We start from the raw sequence: 20001 nt of genomic DNA, 5'->3' as shown, positions 1-20001 counted from the left end.
AAAGGGGTGAGGGATAAAAGATTACTAATCAGGTTCAGTGTGTATTGCTCAGCTGATGGATGCACCAAAATCTCACAAGTCACCACTAAAGAACTTACTTGTAACCAAATACCACCCGTTCCCCAAAAACCTATGGAAATAAAAAATTTTTAAGAAATACAAGAAGAGGAAAAACTTCCAATTATAGTATTTTCATGCAGAAATGCAGGCAACAGCCAATAGGCTAAGTATTTGTTTCGACAAATGAACTATTGAGAAACATACCATTTTATGTCACATACTCACACCAACTGGAAAGACTCCACCAAGGAAAAGGTACTTAAACCCCTAGGTTATAGATTCTACTCATTACAGATGCAAAGGTAAGTAGCTGTGTATTTCATCACACCTAATCCACAAGGACTAAGGCTTGAAATCAAGTTATACCACCTGGGCAAGACATTGGTTTGTGCCATCACTCCTCAGCCCAAACCTGACAGGCATCAATCCTGCCTCCTTGCCTGAACTTTTGGAACATGGAATTTGAGCGTTCATGGGCATTGCTGACGAGAACCTGGAGTATCCTAGGGTCAGCCTGCTTTCAACTTCTATTAAGTGAGAAACTATGCTTCAAGAATTTCATTATCAAGTAATCAAAAATTTTCCTCAACCCCTTAATCAAAAGGACCTCTTATCAAAAGGGTACACATATGTCAGTGAATCCAAGTTTAGGTTGTTCAGGAATTTATAAGCTTTTGTGAGAAAAAAATATTTTGGGATTAGGAGAGAGACAAACTTGTATTCCAAATGCTGAGGACTATTTCCAATTCGAAAGCATCTTACCTAGACTCTGGTTTCAGCAGCCATAAAAATGCCTCTCAGGCCCCCAACTTTGGGAAAAATAATTAACAACTCGAGCCAGTTCACTATGAATCTACCTTAAGTGGAGCGACACATGGCCCAAGAAGAGAATGTATACTGATCTCTCAGCAGGGACCGATGGCCTAGTCATCTGGTCAGTAGCCTGGATGGAAAGGACTAGAAAGAGACAAGAAAGTCTATAGGACATGCATGTGAAAGACATGTAGATTTCATGTCAGATGTTAATTAACACCCACTACAGAGCACCAGTCACAGAAGACTCAACGAACAACCAGACAAAATAGCCTTTCCAGTTGTCAGCCAATGTTTGTCAGACAATGGGAAAATGACAATGACCATGGTGGCTGAGATTGAGGCTACATAGGTACTCAACATTGGACCGTATTTCCTAGAGACAACTTAGCTACTGCTACAGCTGAATGCCCAGCCTGTAGTGAGACAAGTGTTGAATCCCAATATAGCACTATTTAAGAAGACTTGCCACTTGGCAAATTGACTACATTGAGCTGCTTCCATTCACAGGAATATGTTTTGGTATAGGTTTGTCTTTCCTGCTTGCAGATTCTTAACCACAACCACTGTCTGGAGATATTTGCACTACATCATTCACAGATGTGGAATTATACCCAGCAAAGGATCTTATGAATGGACTGAGGTCATAGAAGTTACAGAGTGGGCCCCTGTTCTTGAGGTCAACTGGTCATATTACCACCATTCAGAAGCATGTAGCCTCAATGTTGGAAGAGGCTTCAGAAAGCACAGCAGAAGCATTAAATCCAGGTAAATGTGCTAAATGTGTGGAGTGCCCTAGTTCATGATGCAGCAGTATATTACAGAAGCACCTATAGAGCCCTGTATTCCCAGTGGGAAGACAGCACAGGTGCAGTGTGTTCCCCTACAGGCACCTGAATCCTGTTAAACTCTTCCATTCACTAAAAGCAAGAACATTTAATAAGTTGTTCTGATGCAGGGCCCAACATTTAGAAGAATGACCCCATTTTCCATAGCTCTGAATGAGCCACTGGTCACTTACAGTCTTCCTCATGGCAGGGGTAAGTGACCGATTAGTAAGAGATTGTGCTATCTTACACTCTGAGAGCAGTAAGAATATGGATGAAACCCAGGTGATGCACTCCAGTATCTCCTCATACTTTTCTCGCCCTACTGTAACCCCAACATTCAGCAGCCCTGTCTTGAGAAGCACATGATCACTAGGGTTCAGACACTTTAAGATGAAGGTTTGGGTCACATCACCAGGTAAGCACTAAACCTCAGCTAAAGGCAAAGAATGCAGGGTTGATGGTAAAGGAGGCAGAAGATGAGTATCTGTTGTGACCCCAGATCAGCTTCAGTGGCAGGAGCTTTATTTCATCTCAGTAGTATCCTCTTGAAATTCTTCTCAGGAAGGGTATCCTATAGGACAAGGAGTCACTGTTCTGAACTCTGCAAAGTAGTAAGTCTGCACAACAAGGGCTAACTGTAGGGGCTATTAGAATGCTATACTTCCACTGCCTCATTCTGCCTGAACGCAACCAGGGTGCTAAGGCAGCCCCATTTAAGACATTTATGACTCCTCTGATGGGCAATTTGGGCTCTGGTATTTGTCGCCAGCCTTCCCAGAACACTTAGTATTGCACCTCGGTCTAAGGTACTTCCTAACAAACATCTTTCTTCTCTTTCCCTAACAAGGCCAGACCTACACTGTGATCTGATCTTCTCCCAGACTCTTTTGGCTCCTTCCTTAATTTCCCTCACAGCACTTTCTTCCTACCTCTGAATCTCTTGAACATCTAATCCTACCCTGACATCTACATGTAAGAGGACAAAAGCCAGCATAGAGTAGTTTCAAATGAAACTTCATCCTATAATTCAGATGTGGAAGCAATCTTGCATATCCCTGTAGACACAGACTACTCCATTCAGAGGAAATGGAGTAGCAAAAAATACCATCTAAGTCAGAAGAGGTGACTGGGCCCATTCCTGCATTACCCTAACTATGGTTATTAACTTTATTCCATATCGATGTGATGTCTGAGGTATATGGATCTTCCCTTCTAAAACTCCCTACTACTACCAGTATTTCAAAGTATGTCAAGTTGTCACCTCCCATTTGCTCTGGGCCAATTTTGGATTCCTAGTTATGGTTTTATGTTCCACTACAAGCGGTATCTTTCTACTCTTGACCCAAGTAAACTCGTGACTTTCCTGGGCAAAGCTCTCTTATGGCTCCCATTGATGTCTCACAAAGCAGCTCATCAAGGAGAATCCAAAATTAAGTGGCCCAAGGAACCCAGGCTGACCAGTGAGGCCAGAATTCATTTATTTTGATTGGAGGCTCACTGGATTTACTGACTCACTAGGATCCAGGCAACTCGCTTGCACAAGGGTTTGTTATTAACCATGACACCACCGAGCTAGTCCTTCAGTTTGTATTTTATTTCATTTAAAGCTTCTTCTTTGTTTTAACCAGCATTAGTTCTGGACAGTAGTCCCACATATGGCAGGGGATACTTAACTTTTTAAAACTTGCATTAGTCATGACTTTAAGAGCACTATCTTGCCTTTGTAAAGTGGCATATATACTAGATTTATTATAAACAAGATGGCCACATGGGTATGGAATAATTTCATTATATTTGCCTTGGCATAAGCTTTCTGGCTCCCTTTAAAATGGGAGAAGGTAGTTTCCTAAAGTGTGTAGTCTGAGAAACCTGAATTATTCAGTTCACTCCAACTTCATTAACCTTGCAAATAGAGGAAACCCATTTACTCTAATACATACATTAGTGATGCATTGGGCTATAACTTTTAGGATTCTTTGGTCTGCAAGTGACAAACACCTAACTACACTAGCTTAAGTAAAAATAAGTAATCGGCTCACAAACAGTAATATCCACATAAGTGGGCCCACAAATATACCAGAAAGCAGAACTTATTTTTGAGTAGGTGAACCAACACTAAATGACCAGGCTTTGTTTTTTTTAACAGTATCCCTTGATTGTAATCACATAAGGCAGCATGACAGGTTAGGGAATAAATAAAGTCAAAGCTGGTTGAGTTTGACTGGTCCAAGTAAGGCTGGTTCGACAGGCTCAGTTTCTCCAAGAACCAGATTTTCTTGTGTCCTCTACCTTCTCTGGTATCAGATTCATTCTCACGGTCCACATAGTGCCCTAATACCACCCTCACTCTGATTAGGAATTTCATAGTCTTATGAGGGCCTGTGCTCCATAATGCATTATTTTGCAAATATTTCTTCCAAAAGCTGCTCTGGAACAGATGCCAGTTTTAGCACATATTGAGTTTTAGTAGCATGACCATCTAAGATAGCATGCCGTTCCTTGAACTAGTCATGGTAGTTATGGGGATGTGGGAAAGGAAATGGGATATTACCCTAATAAAAAGTCATCTAGACCTACAGCTAAGAATGACCAAGGGGAGAGGCAGATGGGGAATAGATTCTCTCCAGAAGAAAGTCAGGGATGTGTTTGGCTGAGAATGTGGCAATAAATGTTGAACACTCACACTCTTTTCTATAAAACCCAAGCCAAGTACACAGAATCATTAGGTCTCTGAGCTTATGCTATCTTGCTCACTGAGGAGTTCTTACTCAAGTCAAGACTAGCATAGACTCTACTATACCTTGAAACTTGTCATGTTGCTCTATGTGATTAACATCAAGGGATAACCAAAGATACTAACAATTTCTTGTTCACCTACTCAAAAATTCAGGTTTATGGTCTATTTGTGAGCTCACTTACGATGTATTATGCTTAGACAACAGTTCCTTAGGAATCTAAGATTGGGGGTACCCTCTTCTCACTGTCCATACCAAAGGAGCTACCCTGTTAACAGATTCTTAATTATTTAATTCACCTTCCTAACTTCCCAAGTTTACTAACTAGTGACTGATTTTAACCTTGCAAATAGAGGAAACCCATTTACACTAATACCTCTAATATTCTAATACATGCAATACACCCAGGAAGAAAGTGATTGTATTGCATTTCCAGTTTCCCAACCAGACATCAGGACACTCCACCTGTTTTACAAAAGACTTCCTGAGTAGTAACCTATAGCACATAAAACTCAGGCATAAGTTGTTTAAAAAAATTTTTTTTGAGACTGAGTCTCGCTCTGTCACCCAGGCCGGAGTGCAGAGGCATGATCTCGGCTCACTGCAAGCTCTGCCTCCTGGGTTCACACCATTCTTCTGCCTCAGCCTCCCCAGTAGCTGGGACTACAGGCACACACCACAACACCTGGCTAATTTTTTGGATTTTTCGTAAAGACGGGGTTTCATCGTGTTAGCCAGGATGGTCTCTATCTCCTGACCTCATGATCTGCCTGCCTCAGCCTCCCAGAGTGCTGGGATTACAGGTGTGAGCCACCGCACCTGGCCATAAGTTGTTAATTTCTTAATGCTCAGTGAAGCTTACAACACGAACTATTTAAGTAGCTGATTATGTTCACCCTGTAGAGTCTAGAGCTAGCAATATGAAGATCTACACCTTGCTTCAGATGTAACTGGATTTTATACCTTAACAACAAACAAAAAAACAGCCCTGAGATCTATATCCAAGTTCTAGGATTCTTCTCAGGTTAGAGCTCTACTGGTCATGGGAAAGCTCCATTCAGATACCTTCAGTAGGGAGTGCAATTGACTAAAAGGTCCAGCCAAGGTGCCATGGCAAAGACATGAAGGCAAGCCCATTAACTCACTGTGGGATCCCTGTCAAATATTGAGTCAAAGACTTGCTATTGCCCTACCCAAAGTCCTTGTGCAACTCATTGCAATCTGAGGATTTATAACTGACCTCCTTCCTTCCCTACTTTGTGGGGCAAGCCCCTCCTGTGGCCCCTACTCTTTTCTCTCATAGACATCTACCCCAGTGAATTCCTGTCCATCTAATACTGTCTTGGCATTTGTTCCTCGAAGGACCTGCTGCAACCCAGGTCGCTTTCCATTCCTATCAGAAGACCTAAGAACCCAGCAAAGCTTATAGCGCCTATGGTTACTGTAGCTTAGAAATATCCTTACTCTAAGTTTCAGGGTTTTTAGCAACATGACCTGGAAGGAGGACTGGCAATTCTACTACACTTACAATCCTGTTCTGACAAGCACACAGCCTTCACTATCCAAAATGAGAGTAAGTCCTCTGGGCATCAGTAATTTTAATTAAAACTCAGACCTTAACCTAAAGGAATAATCATCTGGATGCCAGCTGCCCTAAATGCTTAGGGAAAATTGAAGGAGTTGAACAGACTAGAAGGTTTAAGATCTTCCTGACATCAGTTTGCTAGGTAGCAAAACATTAACCTCGAGTCCCCTGAAGAGGTGTTCTGCCCATTTCTGGTGGTTACAGCACAGGACATGGTTTATTCCAACTTCTGGAATTTCTTCCAGTGCTTTGTCACCATAGATACTTATTTAATCCTCTGGCCTTGTTTCCTACCCAGTGTTGGCTCCTCACTTACAAAATTCTCTAGGTGTCTTTCACCTATCCAACCGAAACAAATGTCCAAGAAAGCCGAAGTTGGCCCTACCTCCTGAATCTAGGAGCAGCATTGCCGACCGTGGGGCTTATCAATGTCCAGACTGTTCATGAACTGGCTTTACAGATTCAGGGATGCCAGGCAGGATCCCAACAAAGCCACAAAATCATCTGGGGGAGAGGAGATGCCACATATCTGTCTTCCCACAAGTGGGGAGCTGGGAATTTCATCATTTCTCTTTACTGGTATATCTTCCATGAGATCTAAAAAGATGTAGATGAATATGCTTACGTAAATTTAATAACGTTTGAGAAACACTAGACCAAAAAAACCAGGATGAAGATTCTAAATCTAATACCAGAGCTAAATTATCTTGGGAAAGGTGTTACCTATGAATTTCAGATATGTTAACACAGACATTAAGCACCAAGAAGGAACAAGCATACAGGGCTCTGTAAGAACTGCCTAGATGAGTAAAACGCATTATAAACTAGCATTCTTTAAGCCTTCCAGGATCTCTGGAAGAGCAAAAGACATATTTGTTGTGAATCAACGAGTTCAGTGATATTCTTTGCTATCTGAGGACACCCTCTGCCTATTTGTACAACTGGCAAAGCTTTTCTAACCAAAGCTACGAAACAACAAATTCAGTAAAATCAACCTTTGGGTGCACACTGGGCAAATTCAGCTGCATTTATGTGCAGAAGATGCCAGTGAGCTGCCGTCTTCTCTGCTGTGTCCCCACAAGACCAATATCATGCTCACATTGTGAGGTTGTAGGGATTTATTTATTTCTTGTAGGGATTTCTTATTTCTACCTACAAATGAAAATTAGATGAGCCTAAGGCCTAAAAATACTTCTATGTTACAGGAAGAATTGCCTGCATAATATATATTGAAAAGCATAAAAGATACACTAAGCCTCCCACATTCCTTTGAATGGCTTCTCTATGATTAGAGAAAAAAATGAACATCATGTTGTTTGTGAAGAACATACTTAGAAAATATGCCATCCTCCACTACTGTGGCCTTAATCTACCCTACAAGGTGTTTGTCATTGACATAGAAGAGCTGACTCTGGCTTCTCTGGATCTTTGCTTTAGAGCTTCAGCATCTATTCATCCACTGAGATCCTCTTGCTTTGAAATACCTTCTTCTGTGGGTCATCTGCTCCGAGACCAATTTTCTTAGGTTAACCTATTCTCCTTTCCAAAAACTGCCTCCATCCAGGTTTCATGCCCCAGATATCTTTTTAGGGCCCTCCTAGTACTCCTATTGAGTTAACTAGAATAAGCAGTGAGAAATAGAGCTAACACTTGTTCTTGGATCCTTGTTTGGACACTGCTTTAAGGTATAAATCATGTAAAGGTTATTTAGAAAATCACTGTTTCCAAAGAACTGCAGTCAGTGCCCATATATCTCAGTGACACTTTTAGAAATGGAGGTTGCACATCTCCCACATGAAACAATCACACTGTTTTCCTATACTTGCTTCCTCTATGAAGGTTTTCCATCTTTGCCCTGATCTGTGCCCATTTGTGCCAATTCTTTACAAATTACATCACATGTGGTCCTCTGCCCTGTTACTTCCAAGTGGGATTATACAATAGGAGACACCCAGGAGGGTAGTGGGTGATTATTCGCCCATCTTCTTAGAGCCTCAGCACCTCACTTCTGCCAGCAGCTGTACCTTCTAGAACCACAGCTCCTGGTGTTGAAGCCCCTCACACAACACCCCCTTTACTGGCTCTGTTTATTCCATGCCTTCTCATGGCACTTTCATGCCTGTGGTGGTAAAGTCATTTACCTGCACTAGCCCTTAGGCTTTTCACATCCTTGGGTTAGGGTAACCTATCCCCATCTCTGCAAAGTTCCCCCTAAAGTCTGAAGTCAGTGCAGAATGTTCCCCTTCCTTCTGGGACTCTGATCATCATGAAGTCTGCAAATGCAGCAAATACATTCAACTGTAGTGTCAAATTTTAGTTAAAAAAATGATCAATACATTAAATGTGTATGTGAACAGCCAGAAGGGAAAACAGATGCCATTTATGTCTTAGATACGTGTAACGTGTTAAAAGGTCTCTTTGAAGAAAGTTAAGACTTAAATTTTCTACCCCAGAATTTTTATTCAATAGTGATCAATGAAATATGACCCACCTGAAGATGTAGGTTAATTTTTGCAGCTCATTATGAGTGTCACAGTATATCAAGGCAGTTCTTCGGAAATAGTGATTTTCTAAATAACCTTTATATGATTTATACTTTAAAGCAGTATCCAAACAAGGATATGAGAACAAGCATTATCTCTATTTCTCACTGCTTATTCTAGCTAACCCAATAGACTTTGCTGCAATCAATGCCATCTTAGTGACACTTTTAGAAACGAAAGTGAGTTGCCTTGTTTTCAAATATTAGGCTAATACCATAATTATCCCTACACATTTAACTAGAAGTAAAACTATGAGTATGCTTTGTTAGAATGTACTAGTTTTTAATTTGCCTTGCAGCTCCAGCTCAAAGGAAGAATGTACTAACATTGATAATGCTATTTACATTTGTTTTAATTTTAATTGAGAAAAATAGCTTATAATATGATGGCTGAATTATGTATGTCACCTAAATTATCAACCTCTTTATGATTCAGAGATACAGACCAGATTGCTATGCTCCTTACATTAGCTCAGCCCTACTCTCAGCTGCTTTCCCAGTGGAGAGCCCTAGCCTCAACCGCCATTGCAGAGGTTATGCCTCCCTCACCACTGGGACTCAGGCAGACCACCACACACCATGGGGAATGAGAGCCAGCTTTCCCAGCAGCTGCTTGGAGGGGACAAATGATGACCTGGACATATGGAGTACTTGATGCAGACAGGGAAAGAAGGAAGAGGGATTCTGGCAGGTAGGTTATGTGCCCTTCATCCTTCAGACCAGACATAGGTGCCATCATACTTTTGGAAACAAAGCCACTGCAGTAGTCATACAAACCAAAACCTTGCACCCCAACCCCATGTCAGCAGTCACTCCAGGAGAACCTAGATGGTGAGAGACACCCTACATACTCAAGGAGAACATGGCCTTTGGTAACAACCCCTTATTGCTTTCCTTCTTTCTGTAACTCAAAAAGAGTTGAAACACAAGAACAAAACAAAGCATAACATAAGGGTAGATGGACACTTGTGATTTCTAATATCTGGTTACAGAATATTACCAGACTGGATTTTAAAATTCTATTTGAACTCCCAATCCCTTAAGTGTGTTACTTTCCCAAAACAAAGATGGAATAGATAATAGCAATATAAGAAGAGCTAATTTAAAAATCCAAACAAGATGATGACCTGAGATAAAGTCATTAACCAATGTGAGCAGCAAGTTTCAGTTTGCTGGAAGTAAGCCTCTATGAATCTAACAGTTTTTTTTTTTTGTTTTTTGTTTTTTGTTTGGACAGAGTTTCACTCTTGTTGCCCAGGCTGGAGCGCAATGGTGCAATCTCAGCTCACCGCAACCTCCGCCTCCCAGGTTCAAGCGATTCTCGTACCTCAGCCTCCTGAGTAGCTGGGATTACAGGCATGCGCCACCTCACCTGGCTAATTTTTGTTTTAGTAGAGATAGGGTTTCTCCATGTTGGTCAGGCTGGTCTTGAACACCTGACCTCAGGTGATCTGCCTGCCTTGGCCTCCCAAAGTGCTGGGATTACAGGCATGAGCCACTGCACCTGGCCTGAATCTAGTAGTCTTAAATTATATATGTTTACAAATAAATTCAGTTCTCTGCTAACAATGGAAAAATTTGCCTGCATGATGTGGCAAGCAGCTGTGTCCTTCTGAAAAAGCTGTGGGAAGCTAAAATCACCCAACTTCCCCTCTTCCTGCCTCACTCTTTATCCCCTCACTCTTGCTATTCTGAGGCTAGGCACTCCTTTACCCAATAAACTATTGTACCCGAGTTCTACCTCAGGATCTATTTTCTAGGAATCCCAGGTAATCTCAGAAGTACAAAAGTCCTTCCAAGCACTGACAGAAATGTTGTACTCTTAGCAGTGATATTCCATGCACCAAACTGCATGACCACCATATCCAAACTGTCAGACAAGTACAATCCTGGGCACTGGAGGTGCAGCAGTGAACAGTAAGTCCCTGCCCTCCTGCAGTTTGCATTCACATGCAGAGAGAGTCAGGTAGGGTGTAGAGAGCTGAAGGCCTGTGGGTAGTGACCAACTCAGCATTTCACTGAGGTTATATGATCAAACAACAAACTGTTTATCATGAATGCAGAATGTGGGCAATCTCACTTCTGCTCCTGCAGACAGAAGGTTTGCTGAGGGCAATCACTCCCTGGCACTGTGCTCCTTGAGGTTATCTACTGGAACATGTGGAGATTACTGTTCAAAGATTGCTGTTGTGCAAGCCTGCTCTAAGTCAAGCAGCTGACTGACAACCACCCCCCTTCTCCCTATCTCCTTTACTCAATAAATATGAAGGGCTCTAAAGCTCAGGGCCCTTGTTCACTAGAAGCAAGGAGCCCCCAACACTTTATTCCAAATATATTCTTTTGTCTTTATCTTTATTCCCATGTTCATCCTCCTTTGTCCAGTCCAACAGGGATTGGATCTGCATCAAGTAGCATCCAAACACAAGGACTTAGAGGGTGTGAACAAAGAAGGTCTGTTGGAAGAGAGGAATTGAAATTGACAAGATGAACACGGATGCTGGGATGAGTCTGCCAGCAGCAGATATGTCAGTGCCCTAAAGAGGTACTGATCAGTGCCCTAAAGAGGTAATGGGAGCGATATAAGGTCAGTGCTCTAAAGAAGTACTGGGAATGGGAAGTTTTCTGAATCAGGGTAACATGGGGGCATAATTTGTCTGTTGAAGAAAACATTATGTGCAGTTGCTTAAAGTTTTGTTGAAACAATCTGGTGATCAAGTTAATTCTCAGACATTTAGATGTTGCAGGAGGTTATTACGTATAACCCATGGTTTCCACAGACAGGCACTCTTGATGTGGAAAATTGGGACAGAGCAGGAGAAGGATTAAAATGGCTCATCAAAAAGGTCTTAAATTTGATCCTTCTGTTTTCTCCACTTTGTGTTTAGTTCATACTGTCCTTCTGCCATTATCTCCTTATTCTGCTGGACAGTCGGAGTCATGTTCTGAGTTTTAAAATCTGAAAGAATTGGTTGTCCCACTCACAGCACAAATTGAAAATGAAAAACAGGAGAGCAAGGATAAAAATTGGCCTATACTGCCCCCTACAATAGCAGAAACATCTGTACCACCTCCTTTGGTAGCAGAAATAGAGACCCCAATACAAAGAATTTTATGCTCTGCTGCCATAACTGGAGAGCCCTTAGGACCTTGCACTTTTCCTATTTCCATAAGGCCTGATCCAAACAATCCACAGCAGTTTATTCATGAGCACACCCCACTAGAGTTTAAGTTGTTGAAGGAATTAAAAACTAGTGTAGTTAATAATGGGGTACAGAGCCCATTCATTTTAGGATTGCTAGAATCCGTATTTGGTGCTATGTGCCTTCTACCCTTTGATGTAAAACATTTGGCTCACACTTGTTTGTCTGCTAGTGCACACCTGACATGGAATTTAAATTGGCAAGAAATGTGTGCAGACCAGGCTAGACAGAACCACGCTGCTGGACATGGAGACATTACAAAGGATATGCTGTTAGGTAATGGCCCTTATTCATACCTGGAACATCAAATGGCACTCCCAGACACTGCTCATCAGCAGTGTGCACAGGCCGCTAAATGCACCTGAGCCACAATTCCTGAAGAGGGACTCCCAGTACAATCCTTTTTACATATCATGCAAGGGTCACAGGAGCCCTAAGCACATTTTCTTGCTTACAAGAAAATTACAAGATTACAGGAAGCAAGATTACAGGAAGCAGTGAAGCATCAGATTCCTCACACCACTGCTGCAGAAATGCTAACCTTGACTTCAGCTTTTGAGAATGCAAATGTGGATTGTAAACATGCACTGGCACCTGTGAGTTGTACAAAAAACTTGGGAAATTTTCTCAGAGCTTGTCAGGATGTAGGAACTGAGCTTCATCACTCTGCAATGTTAGTGCAAGCAATGGCTAATTTAGTAGTTAACAAATCTAGAAAAGATAACAAATCTAAAAAAGAGCCAAGGGTTGAACCCTAAAATGGGAAAATGTTATAATTGTGGAAAAACTAGACATTTTAAAAAGGAATGCCACCTGATCTCAGGACAGAAAGGATCTTATAATGCAGTTCACCCAACCCCCAGTGGAAAAAAACCACCAGGACTCTGTCCTCACTGTAACAAAGGAAATCAGTGGGCTAATCAACGCCACTCAAAATTTCACCAAAATGGCACCCCCTCCATTGGGAAATGAGATGGGGGTCTGGACCCAGGCTCCTCAAACAATGAGGGCATTCCCAGTCCAGGCCACAACTGCATTTGAGGGGTGGGTCCCAGGAGAAACATTAATTCCCTCAACCCAGGAAGTGCAGGATTAGATCTTCCAGTCAGAGAAAGAATTACATTAGTTGGTGGAGACAAAACTATCAAAGTTCCCACTGGCATTTGGGGACCTTTACCGGCACGATATATGGGACTAATTTTAGGCAAAAGCCATCTTAACTTGAAAGGCATCACTGCAGTCCCTGGAGTGATTGATTCTGATTATGAAGAAGAAATTAGATCTTTGGGTTTTTGAACTGGGAGAATATATAGCACAACTATTGCTTATTCTCTGCAAATTACACCCTTCATGAGAGGAGAGATGAGGAAATAAAGGGTTTGAGAGCACAACTACAGGAGAAATCTATCACAACCTATAGCCTCTAATAGATCCACCTGTGTAGTACAGATTAAAGGAAAAATTTTATGGGCTTATGGACACAGGAGCTGATGTGTCAGTAATATTAAGTAAGGACTCACCCCCAGCATGGCCTCTCAGACTAACCTCCAGATCCCTAGTGGGAGTGGGAGCAGCTAAGTGTTCAACAGAGTGCTGAGATTTTACCTTGTCTTGGTCTGGATGGACAATCATGTACTTTCCAGCCTTATGTTACAAATACAGCTAACAATTTATGGGCTTGAGACTTACCTATAGCATGGGATGAGACTTACAAATGAAAACTTTGATAATCCAGGATTTAAAATGTTGAAGGACATAGGATATCAGAGTGGGAAATGTTTAGGGAAATTCCTACAAGGAAACCCTAAGCTGATATCAATAACTGGAAAGACAGAAAAAGATTGGCTCAGTGACAAACCTGTGTGGGTGGATCAGTGGCCCCTAACACAGGAGAAGCTAGCGTAACTTCATTTGTTGGTAAAAGAACAATTGGTTGCGAGACATATAGGAGTCAGTCCCTGGAATTCACCAGTGTTTGTTATTCCAAAAGAGTCTGGAAGATGGCAACTGCTACATTATTTGAGAGCTATTAATGCGCAAGTTAAACCGATGGGCACTTTACAGCAAGGTCTGCCAACCCAAGCGGCCATTCTAAGAGACTGACCTCTCGTTGTAATAGTTCTTAAGGATTGTTTATTTACTATACCATTACATGAGGAGGATAAGCCTTGATTTGCCTTCTCTGTGCCTTCTATTAATCAAAGAGAACCTGCTTCTCACTATCAATGGAAAGTTTTGCCTCAAGGCATGCTAAACAGACCTATGTTATGTCAGCATTTCATGGGAAGAACATTAAAGGAGCCTTGAAATATGTTTCCTACTGCATATATCATTATATGGATGATACACTTTTGGCCACTCCTACAGATCAAATATTGCATCAATTATTCAGAGAAGTAAAGAGAGCTCTTGTTAAATGGAATCTCAAAATTGCTCCAGAGAAAGTACAAACAACTTCCCCATACCATTACTTAGGAGCTATTGTTAGAGAGGAGTGTACAGCCTCAGAAAGTAGTTCTCCATAAAGATAGATTACAGACTTTAAATGATTTTCAACAATTATTAGGAAATATTAATTGGTTGTAACCAATGCTAGGTATTGCAATTTATCAACTTACACATTTTTATCAAACCCTGCAAGGAGACTCTTCTTTAAATTCCCCGCAGCAATTGACAAAAGAGGCAGAAGCAGAGTTGCAGCATGTAGAGCAGATGCTACAGCAATGACATGCCTCCCACCTACAGCCACAAAAACCTTTGCTTCAATTCTTCCTATGCCCCATTCTCCAACAGGACTTTTAGGCCAATGCTTAGACAAATCTGTAACAGTAATAGAATGGCTCTTTTTGCCTAATCAAACAGTGAAAACTTTACAAGTTTGTCTTTAATTACACAAATTGTGACTATGAGCAGTCATAGGTCAAAGATGCTTATGGGATATGATCCAGGTAAAATCATTGTTCCCTTAGACTCCCAGCAACAGGCCACAGCTTGGGATGTGTTGATTGCATGACAAATCACTTTTGCAGACTTTGTGGGAATAATAGACAACCACTACCCCTCAGACAAAATTTTACAGTTTTATAAAGTCCATTCTTTCATTCTTCCTGTGACTACTCATCACAAGCCTATTTCAGGTGGCTAGACTTATTTTGCTGATGGCTCTTCCAAAGATTGTACAGCTATTTATGGACCTAAACATAAACAATAATGACCTCTGGGGTTTCAGCTCAACACTCAGATTTAATTGCAGTCATTCAGGTTTTATAGCTCACAGCTTCAGATCCTATCAACAGTGTCTGTGATTCAGCTTATGTTATAAATGTAGGCAGTCACATAGAAACTGCTACAATTAAATATACCCTACAATCAGAACTGCTTAATTTGTTTCTAAGACTTCAGTAAGCTATGTGCTCTCATGCAGTTCCTTTTCATATTTCTCATATTCACTCTCACACACAACTTCCCGGATGACTATCTCTAGGTAATGATAGAGCAGATAAATTGGTTCTGTGTTTTAGCAAGCTCAAGCCTCCCATGTGCTACTGCACCAAAATACTTCTGCTCTTACTCGCATGGTTCACTTGTCTCGCATCCAAGCTAGGACTATAATACAAGCCTGTCCTACTTGCCAGCATGTCCCTGGAGCCACACCTGTAGAAAGTTGTAACCCACAAGGTTTGGCTCCAAATGAAATCTGGCAAATGGATGTTCCACATATAGCAGCCTTTGGCAAACTTAGCTATGTTCATGTGACTATAGACACTTATTCTCATATGCTGCATGCTACATGCCAAACAGATGCATGCACAGTGACATTGTTATTTGCTCATATGGGAATCCCTAAACAATTAAAAACTGACAATGGACCCACTTATACTAGTCATGCTTTTCAAAATTTCCTACAGCTTTGGGCTATAACTCACAAAACAGGAATTCCTTATAATCCTAGAGGGCAAGGCATTATAGAGTGGGCCCAAACATTACAACACATGTTGAAAAAACAAAAAGGTATAGGAGACCAGTTACCACCACAAACAAAATATTTAGCTTTATTTACATTAAATTTTTTGACTCCTGGTACAGATGGTAAGACTCCAGCAGAAAGACATTGGCAAGTGTTAGAGGAAAAGAGGAAAGTTTATCCAAAAGTGTTATGGAAATCCCTGGAAGGAGGACAATGGAAATGTCTGGTGGATTTACTAACATGAAGACAAGGGTATGCTTGTGTTTTTACAGGAGACAAACAAACTGTATGGGTGCCCCGAAGGTGCGTGCAACCACGGAATGGGAAACTGGAGGAACACTTGGTTGCAAAACATGGGCCCGGTCCCTCTGGTATGAGCCATGAGCCAGCTGAGCCTGAGTGCAAAGATGGAGAGATGGCTGACCAGAGTCACAATGACATCAACCCCCATAACTGGGGGCAACTCAAGAAAACCACACAGGAAGCTAGAAAACTATGGGAGCATCAAGGCCAGACAAAAACCCCTGATTCCATGTTCTTGGCTATGTTAGCCATAATGTCCTGTGTGGTATGTTTTCCCTGTGCAGAAGCAAAAACATATTAGGCATATGTTCCCAATCCCCCACTAGTACAACCTATACTTTGGAGTGACACTCCTCTAAAGTGATCTATCATGATCAGGGAGTGTGGGCTCCAGGACCCCTAACTCCCCCGACGTAGAAAAGTTAGACTCTCAGAACAATGTCATTAATTATACTGCCCCACTGGAAGGACTCCTCTTGTGTATCACTACAAAAAAGTCACTCAACCGTATCTGTCTTGCAATTCAAGCTCAAGAATGGTTGAGTCACTATGGAAATGTCATGTACCTATTAAATCTTGGTTCCATTAATGTAACTGGTGTGCTAACCAACCATTCCCGGCCCAGTCACCCCAGTTGTGCTGACTATACGGAATGGATTCCCTTCACTAGTTCCTATCCACCTCTGTGGACCCAGTGTCTTGGCCAACTGGCTAGAAAACAATGTATGTTAACTGGAGACATTGTGGATTGGGGGCCTAAAGGTCGAATATATGGAAAAGATGAAAATCAGAAATCATGGCACAAACTTCGCTGGCATTAGTGGCAAGTTTTAATGCTGCTTCTTTATACCACACTGGGATCCAATCCCAGTCTGCCACCCAGATTGTTGGCATGGAGCAGGCTTTATCCCACCTCTTCCTCAATGGCACTATCTAGGGAGGAAAGGACCAATCCAAGAGACGTTATGGAAGGCAGCACTCCCATTTATGAATGGCAGCATCTGGATTGGGATACTATCCAATAATAGCAATAGTAAACAACAGTTTTAATGTTACATTTGTAAAGAATATCACTACTCAATTTACAGTTTGTGTTTTTAATCCTTATGTCTTTTTGGCAGCTAAGAAGGAGCAGCTCCAGGTAAACAATACCCCAATTGACCTGTAAATCTTGCCAGTTATATCACTGCATTAATCATAGCACATTGCAAACACATAATATCTCTACTTTGATAATTTGGGGTCACATCCCTGGGCTATGGATTCCTGTTAATCTGTCTGAGCCTTGGGCTGCCACCCCCTCCTTGCACTTCGTGAAACTTCTAACTCAACTTACTCATTGCATCCATAGAGCCTTAGGCATGATAACTTTTGCTATTGTTTCCTTGGTCACATTAATAACTTCTGTTGTGATGCCCTCTATAGCTCTGCATAGTTATATTCAAACAGCTCAGCATGTGGAAAACTTGACACATGCAACCAACCAAGCATGGCTACTTCAGAATAAAATTAACACTGAGTTACAAACTGAAGTGGCAATGTTGAAATCCATGGTTCTATGGTTAGGAGAACAAGTACAAAGCTTACAATTGCAACAGCAATTGCGCTGTCATTTTAATCACACTCATATTTGTGTAACCAACTTAGAATATAACCAAAGTGAGTATCCGTGGGACCTTGTGGAAGCCCATTTGCAGGGAGCTTTCACATCCAACATCACCTTTGATATTGGTGAATTACAAAACAAAATTCTTGGTTTAAATAAACTCAAGAGTTTCAGCCTTCTTTAGAAGACTGGACTGAAATTCCAGCAACACCTGCAGAGCATCAATCCTTGGACCTATCTAAAGCACCACATTAACATCTTATATGTAATCCTTGGAATGTTGTTGTTTTGTCCCTGTCTTCTGTTCATAGTCTAAAATCAGGTGGACCGCCAATCACAAAATGAGAGCTGCCAAACCTGGCCTTACATTCTTTCAATTAATACATAAACAGAAAGGGGGAAATGTAGAGAGCCGAAGGCCTGTGTGTCATGACCAACTCAGCATTCCACTGAGGCTGTATGATCAAACAACAAACTGTTTATCTTGAATGCAGAACATGGGCAATCTCGCTTCTGCTCCTGCTGACGGAAGGTGTGCTGAGGGCAATCACTCCCTGGTGCCATGCTCCTTGAGGTTATCTACTGGAACATCTGGAGACTACTGTTCAAAGAATGCCATCGTGCAAGCTTGCTCTAAGTCAAGCAGCTGACTGACAACGATCCCTCTTTCTCCCTATCTCCTTTACTCAAATACAAAGGGATCTAAAGCTCAGTGCCCTTGTACACTAGAAGCAATGAGCCCCTCAACTCTTTCTTCCAAATATACCCTTTTGTCTTTATCTTTATTCCTGCATTTGTCCTTTGTTCAGTCCAACAGGGATTGGGTCTGGGTCAGTAGGGTAAGTACTATGAAAGAAATAAAGCAGGATATGGTGTGGGTGTGTGACGGAGTGTGAAGCAGTCAGTTCTGTTTTTGGTAGGGTTGCAGGAGGTGGCACATCGTTGACCCACTTTAGTCTGCCATTAACTGAGATTGTGGCATGACCACATGTAACACTTCCACTTATTTTACTTGGCACACTCAAAGAGCTTTTGTGCACACATTTGGAGTTGTAGAGTCTACATGTGTGGGTTATAAGCTTTAGATCAGAAACCACTACCATTTCAGTATAGGCTATCCAATATAGAAAACCACACGTGCTGTAGTATGAGAATGTGGGTTATGTTGCTTGAGACTAATGGGTATCAGGTCTTTATTAGAGCCATTAGATGCTCAAAAACGAAGTTCTTCCACATCCTGAAAGAAAAGCTCAGGTTGTGAGGCTATCAAAGCAGCTTGCTTCTAGCAAGTGAGTCCTGTCTCACATTACCATCTATTTTGCTCAACCACAGAGTAAAGAAAATGCCCAGTAAATTAAGCAAAGCCAACAAGTTTTGGCCCAGAGAGTATATTTTTTTCCTCCCGTTTTTCCTTATAAAGCATGTGTACCTTTGAGAAGATTCAGTTCATTAGTATGACAAAGTAGTTTGAATACTTATCTTCCCCTTCGTAACTTTGTAGAGGAGAAATGAAGCTCAACAGAGGGATCAAAACAGATGGAAACAGACTTCCCCAAAGTAACTAGGCAATTAGGTCAAAGAGGGACCTGAACTCAGATCCAAAGTCCAAATATTCACCACATTTGTAGTTTTAAACTAAAGTGACCAGCACAGAACACTTGGAACTTTCTTTAGCATTAGTTTATCTATAACGGTAATACATTTATTACATGAAATAACAGAACCCCATGGTTTATATTAACTCCCAATTCTGTCACTTTTATGATGTTACCTTATTTGGATACTTGCTTACCCAAGGTAATAACTTATCTGTGTGTCTACTATAGGACTACAAGAGCCAGCAGTCCAAGTCCTTTGGACTTGAGGCAAATGCCCAAACAAGTCCCTAACTTCAAAGAAATATGAGTGAGCTTTGTTAAATAAAGCACCTAATTAACTGAAGGGTTTGATCTGGGCAGGTGCAACCAAGATTGACTCCTGTAGAAATAACTGATCCAAGGGGCTGTATTCATGTTTTAACAGTGCTTATATGAGAAGGGAAAACATTCAGTTATACTAATTTCTGTATAGACATGTCTAAAGCCAATAGGCTAGATATTTGTTTTGGCAGATGAGTGAGAGAGGACCCTACCATTCTGTGTCACACATTAACACCAACCAGAAAGACTCCACCATGGAAAAGGTAATAAAACCCTGGGCTCAGACTCTGCCTTGGGAGAATCTAAGCTTAGCTCTGTATGCACTGATAGGAAATATCTATAAAATATGTTGGAAAAGTTTATATTTGGTTTTAAAGTGGTGATGTACATAAGTATTAGTACTATCCACTCAGCCAAAGTATAAGTAAAGAATCTCTGGAA

At 41.4% G+C, this 20001-nt stretch overlaps 1 long non-coding RNA gene across 1 annotated transcript; it reads left to right on the top strand.

Moving 5' to 3' along the window:
* Positions 1–1304: 1304 nt before the first annotated feature.
* Positions 1305–16965, top strand: LOC105377295 (uncharacterized). The gene is made up of 3 exons (XR_938911.3): positions 1305–1641; positions 10948–11149; positions 16005–16965. It is a non-coding gene; the product is annotated as an uncharacterized LOC105377295 (long non-coding RNA).
* The last annotated feature ends 3036 nt before the right edge of the window (positions 16966–20001 follow it).

The sequence above is a fragment of the Homo sapiens genome, chromosome 4 (genome assembly GCF_000001405.40).
Source record: "Homo sapiens chromosome 4, GRCh38.p14 Primary Assembly".
Classification (NCBI taxonomy): Eukaryota; Metazoa; Chordata; class Mammalia; order Primates; family Hominidae; genus Homo; species Homo sapiens.
The sequence above is the reverse complement of the archived record's forward strand: the minus strand, read 5'-3'. Positions and strand labels throughout refer to the sequence as shown.